Genomic DNA, 6124 nt, shown 5'->3' with positions numbered 1-6124 from the left:
TGACGGCTTCAACAGCAACACCTTTATTACTAGCAAAACCCTGCAGAGGAGGAAACCAGCTTACTGCCAGCACCAACTGCCTCTCACAGGCTGGGGTGATCATGGGACTGGGAAGGAGGGGTGTGGGCGGTAGAGCTTGCTGCCCGGCAGGATATGGCAAGGATGTTCCTGCAGTCAGGCTGTTGGGCCTTTGCCCGGGAGGGTGCGATAAGGATGTTTCTACAGTCAGGTGATCAGGAAGGATGCTTCTCACGGCCCGAGTTCCCAAGGAATGTTTCATTCTGACCAGGGTGTGCAAAACGGCTGCAGGTTTACAAAATGGTACAGGTTAGACTAACAGCAACATCTCCCAGGTAGACAGTTCTATAAAGTAAACTTCCCTTGAGCACCTACACTGTACCAGACATGGTGCTAGGACCCAGGCCACAGGAGGAACAGGACAGATGAGGCCCCTGCCATCCTGGTGCTCATGCCTGATGAAGGAAGCTAACAGGTCGTAAGACCAGGTCACGTGGTGGTGGTAATGAAAGACATTACCAGCCACTTCGAGGTCCCTGCCAGAACCTGACTGCCACATTCCCCAAAGGGACCAGACTCCTCGGCACACTAGCTGAGGTTTCTATAGGCACAGAGAAAACACTGTCCCAACTGTTGCAATGGAGCTGGGAAAAATAATGTTTTTTCTCAATGCTTAGACTTACCAATTGCTTCATTTTATCACATGAAGGCTGTGTGGCACTTTGAAGTAGAATTAGTAATTTACATAATTACAAATCATGTTTTTTTCTTTTTTTTTAGATGGAGTCTTGCTCTCTCGCCCAGGCTGGAGTGCAGTCGCGCCATCTCGGCTCACTGCAAGTTCCACCTCCCGGGTTCATGCCAGTCTCCTGCCTCAGCCTCCCAAGTAGCTGGGACTATAGGCGCCAATCATCATGCCCAGCTAATTTTTTGTGTTTTTATTAGAGACGGGGTTTCACCAAGTTAGCCAGGATGGTCTGGATCTCCTGACCTCGTGATCTGCCCGCCTCGGCCTCCCAAAGTGCTGGGATTACAGGCATAAGCCACTGCGCCTGGCTACAAATTATGTTCTTAAAAGAAGCTGCTCAGTGCCATGCCTAACACAAGATGGAACTCCACGATGAGATATGTGTGAAGACAGGGTGCCATGGTTACAAACAAGGACTCCAGGTGCAGACTGTTTGGTTCAAACCTGGACCAGCGGTATGAATTTTTGCAACTCTCTGTATTGCTCTTTGCCTCAGTTTTTTCATATAACAACTAGAAGTAAAAACAAGGTTATTGTGAAAATTAAATGAATTAAAGTAAGTGGAGTGCCTACAACACCCCCAGGCACACGGTCAGCACTGAGCATGTTTTTCATTACTACTCTTAATGAGGTAAGAATGAGAAAACAGGCGCCAGCCATGAGCCTGGGGTTTATCTGGCAAAGGCATCAGAGACCCCACTTTTAACATCCTCCATTCATTCATTTGACCCTGATAAGGAAGGAGTCTCATGGGAGAGGAGCAAGCCTCCACCTGGGGGCCAGACATCTCATGATCAAAGTTGAACTCTACCACTGTTCAGCTGGGTGACTTTGGGCAAGTGACTTTCCCTCTCTGATCCTCATGTTCCTTTTTGATAAAAACAGCAAAATGTCAGGCCTATGGGGATTCAAGGAGCCAAAAGAAAAATGTGTGTCTTAGTCTGAATTTCCTGGAAGTAGATCCTGAGGCAAAGATTCAAATACAAAAATTTTGTTTGGAGATAACGCTAGGATATTAATTCGACTGCCAGTTCTTCCTTAGGGTGCTAATCCCAGGAAACATCAGTGGAGGAGTGGGGAACTGAGACAGGAAAGGAATGCAGCAGTTAAAGGGACCTTCATCAAGAAAGTTTCCACTGTGGCAGCCAGGACTCAGCCCTGCCAGGTACCTCTGAGAGACAGCACAGAACATGTGCTTCAGAGTCATCATACCCAGAGCAAGGGACCAGGGGTATTTATCCACCAATACCCACCAGTCACTCCTCAGGGATCCTCCCAAGGGCATGATTCCTCCAGAATGTCCTGCCTGCGCTGCAAGGGTCAGACCTGGGGTTGAGGGCAGGACCCCTGACAGCGCTTCCAGCAATGGGCAGAACCACAGCCTGATGTGTACAGTTTCAGTCACCCAGTAACTCCAACACACACACACACACACATTCACACACCACACTCCAACACCAACAAAGTATATACGTACATACACATACATGCATACATGACTGTTACCCACTTAGATCCTAGTGACTCCATGGGATAGACGATAAGGTGGGAATCAGAGGAAAGAGTAAAATTAAGGCGAGTGAAAGTCTTAAGAACAAAATGCAAATTTAGGCTGAAAATGAAGGGGGAGGAGGTGTGGTCTCGACACCAAATGCCTGCTGGGTGGCACATGCTCTACACACACTGTCACTAATTCTCCAAGCAGCCTCGTGGAGTAAAAGAAATTCCTCTCAATGTACAGATGACAGAAACATAGTTCAGAAAAGAAAACTGATTTTACTAATGTCTCAGCAAGTTAGTGGGTGACATGGAGTCCCAGATCTTTCTGTCCACAAAGCCTACAAATTCTCCCTTGTTAGGCAGGCTGGGTACCAGGCCCTGCTTCTGGGCTCTGCTTCTTTTCCTTCTAGGCTAAAACAGCAGAACTGACAGAGACATCATCCCCCTTCTCCACCTGGAGCAGAGCCAATGAGAGGGGCTGGGGAACAGCCATGAGGCCCAGCACCCACCATTCAATGTCTTCAGAATTGCCGTCCCTCAGAACTCTTGCACCACGAGGTGGCAGCACTCCCAGTGTCTGGGTGTCTTCTGAGGGGTACCAGGATCCAGTAGAGGCCACTGGCTGTGCTGTCATATCCTAAGTGGCAGCAAGGCAGGCTTGGGTCTCTTGGCTGCTTCAGCACCAGAGGTTGGACAGTGCCCATGCATTGAGTCCCTCAGGAGAATGGGAGGGAAAGGAAGGGCAGAATGGAGTGATGTAGGGTCCATCCACCATGTCCCTGGATGGAGAGACCCCTGCTCCCACAGTAGTCCACACCAGGACCACGATTGGCACTCATGAAGATGCCAGCCTCCATGTATATGTCCTTGTCTGACAACTCCTCCTTATTTTCATCCTGGAGACAAGAACCCTGAACACAGTAGCTCTGAGGGCACCTGAGTGTAACCTGAGACAGTCCCTGAAGACCTTTCATCCAAGCAGGATCCCTCCCTTGCCATCTCCAGACCTGCCCCACAAACTCCCTCCCTGGTCTCCTGGCTCTTGTTCACTCCTTCCAGGCAGCCTTCCACAGTCATCTCTAAAATATATATGACTGTCCCTTCCTTTATCCAGCACCTTCCATGGCTCCCCAGAGCCCTCCAGGTCAAGTTCAAGTTCTTTGATCAGACACTAGATCTCAAGCTGCATTCTACCTCCTGAATTAAGATCCCGGAGAAGCCCACCTTGCTCAGCACAAACGCATCACTGAAGTCGAAAATCTTGAACGTGGCCTTGGCATTGAGGAAGTCATCAACACCCTGGCTAGTGAGGGTGCAGTGCCGCTCCAGGATGATGGTGTCTAAAGTTGTGCACCAGGTCGCAGGCCCTGCAGAAGCATCTCCCCTCAGGAGTGAGGTAGTACAGGAAGTCTGTGCACAGGCAGATCTGCTGGTGCTGTTACACTATGAGGGCACTGAGCTCCAAGATGGTGGCAATATATTCACTGGGATTCCTGCACGGTGAGGTTGGAGAGAGGAAGCATCTCCATAACACATATGAAACCCTGGAAGCACTTCCCAGCCAGAAATTCAGGACCACGTTATATGCAGATATGGGTGCCCTCTGAGCACACTTGTCTCTCTGTCTCCCACTCTGAGCTGCCTCCTGGCCCCACATGCCCCAGCCTGGCCCAGGGCTTAGCCCAGTGGGTGTTCAGTCCATGGTGTTGACTGCTCCCTGGGCCAGGAGAGCCCTTGGTGGCTCTGTGACTCCTCCTGTGGAACCCCTACCTCTGCCTTGGGACCTCCCAATTCCCATGGAAGCCCCCACAGCTCTGGATTGCCCCACCTGCCCTGTGATCCTCCAGCCCCATAGGCCTTACTCGATGCCTTAGCCCTCCCAGAACATGACACGTTTCTCTGAATGTGGCTGATGTCCAGGGCCATCTGTAGATGTTTGCTGGGGACCTCTTGCTGTTTTCCTTTATGGTCTGTAGGCCAGGGCCAAGAGGAGAAACCAGCCTAATCTCAGAATGGACAAAAGGCTCACTGCCCTAACAGCAACCACCAAACAGTCAGCAGTGCTTCTGGATGGAAAAGAGGTTTCATTCTGCAGAAAGCTCCTTGTTTGGCTTCTTTCTGAAGCCAGGAAGGGGTACCAAACCCAGCTTACCTGCGGTGCCTACGTTAGCATCTGTGCCTAGGATGCATGATGGGCTCCCACTGCAGGGTTGACATTCCCTCCAGCTGGAGACCTGGGCTCCTGACACCACCTGGCGTGTTTGTCCTGCTCTGGATGACGGTGGAAAGGCTGTATCTGGTATTTTCCTAGGTCCTTGGTTTTCACCTTCTAGACATCCAGCAGGAGTGACCATACCCAGCCCCACACCTGAAATGGGACTCCCTTGTAGAGCACCTGAGACCTCTACAGACAGAAGAGTGCTCTGGTGAGACAGGCCACAGAGGTCCCCGGGGGGGGGGGGGATCAGGGGCTGGAGGATTCTGGAGGTTTCCAGCCTTGGGCTCTGTGGTTCCTCAAAGAGTTTAGGTTTACCTAGGACTAGGCCTCCCCTCCCATGATTCAAAGAGTGGGTGAGTGCTATGCATCACGAACTCTGATCTGGACCTATTTTTTCATTTAGGTCACCAAGAGACAACCCCTAACCCCCAAGCTAGGGATGGTCCAAGCTCTGGCATGAGATTCTCTTCCAGCAATGTGATGCTTGCAGGGACAGGGAGAAAAGCCGGTGACCAGGCCTGCTGTCCCCCAGGTAAGGACAGTGTGCTACCCACCCTCTGAGAGGCAGGTGGTGCCAGGTCACTGCACTGGGTCCCTGTACCCCTGGCTCTGCAGACACCAGTCATGGAGGTCCTCCCCTCTCCACATTACCTTCTTGCTACTCCCAGATTTCTTCTGGTCATTAAGCACTTTGAGCCATTTTTCTGTGCAGCCGATCTGATATTTTTGCTATCAGATGAAACATGACAAAGTAAGCCGAGCCACCAGGATTCCTGGAGGGAACCTTGGATGCTGCGTCTTGGGATCCAGAGCCCTGATGGGACTGAACCAGAAGGAGCCAGGGAAGGACAAACACTGGGGCTCAGGCCCTATGACCCAACGGCCATTGGTGGCCTGTCCTCATGGCCCCAAGACACCCTGTCCTCAGGCCACAGACACCATGGGCTTTGGTCAGGTCCCAGCCTCCCAGTAGTGCCCTGGCACTGGTGGGTGCTGACCCCCAAACCACAATAGCAGTTCTGGGTTATGGGTTTGGTAAAACCACCTCAGGGAGAATTCTGGGGTTGGGTTTGGCAGGAACCACGGGGCCTCCCAGGAATGATGTGTCACTCCTACTTGCCACAAAATGTGCACAGAGGCTATCCCACTGACCAGCCCATCCTGCTGGACAGGATGGAGGAAATCAGGGAAAAGGCAGGGTGGACATCTGGGGTGCAGGGAGAGGCAGGTGCATGCTGGGAGGTCAGGCCCTGCGAGGGCTGTGGGGGCATCAGGTGGGGTGGGCTCCAGGTGCACCCTCAATGCACTGGGTGGGTCTCAGGCCAGGCTCCCTGGACCCTGGTTGGCTGATGTGGTCACTCCCTGGGGGACTGCTGTCAAGCCCTGGCCACCCACCCTGGGCAGCACCGTCCCATCCCAAGACCGGATTTTCTGAGTCCTGAGACAGGACAGTGCTGTCCAGGCCTGACAGACTGGGAGGACCTGCCAAGTCCTCCATCCCTAGACCAGCCTCCCACACAGCAGGGACAGTCTCTTCCATTTACCTTCAGGGCACTGACTGATCCATGTCACTCTAAGGCAACCAAGGCAGAGCTGAGGACCTGTGCCAGGCTGGGAGCCAGTCCCCTCCCTAAATGGGC

At 52.3% G+C, this 6124-nt stretch overlaps 1 long non-coding RNA gene across 1 annotated transcript; it reads right to left on the bottom strand.

The window, feature by feature from the left end:
* On the bottom strand, positions 1-5650 carry FAM95B1 (family with sequence similarity 95 member B1). The gene is made up of 5 exons (NR_026759.1): positions 5136-5650; positions 4419-4670; positions 4129-4332; positions 3491-3759; positions 1-303 (listed from the first exon to the last, which is right to left on the bottom strand). It is a non-coding gene; the product is annotated as a family with sequence similarity 95 member B1 (long non-coding RNA).
* Positions 5651-6124: the final 474 nt, after the last annotated feature.

The sequence above is a fragment of the Homo sapiens genome, chromosome 9 (assembly GCF_000001405.40).
Source record: "Homo sapiens chromosome 9, GRCh38.p14 Primary Assembly".
Taxonomy (NCBI): Eukaryota; Metazoa; Chordata; class Mammalia; order Primates; family Hominidae; genus Homo; species Homo sapiens.
The sequence above is the reverse complement of the archived record's forward strand: the minus strand, read 5'-3'. Positions and strand labels throughout refer to the sequence as shown.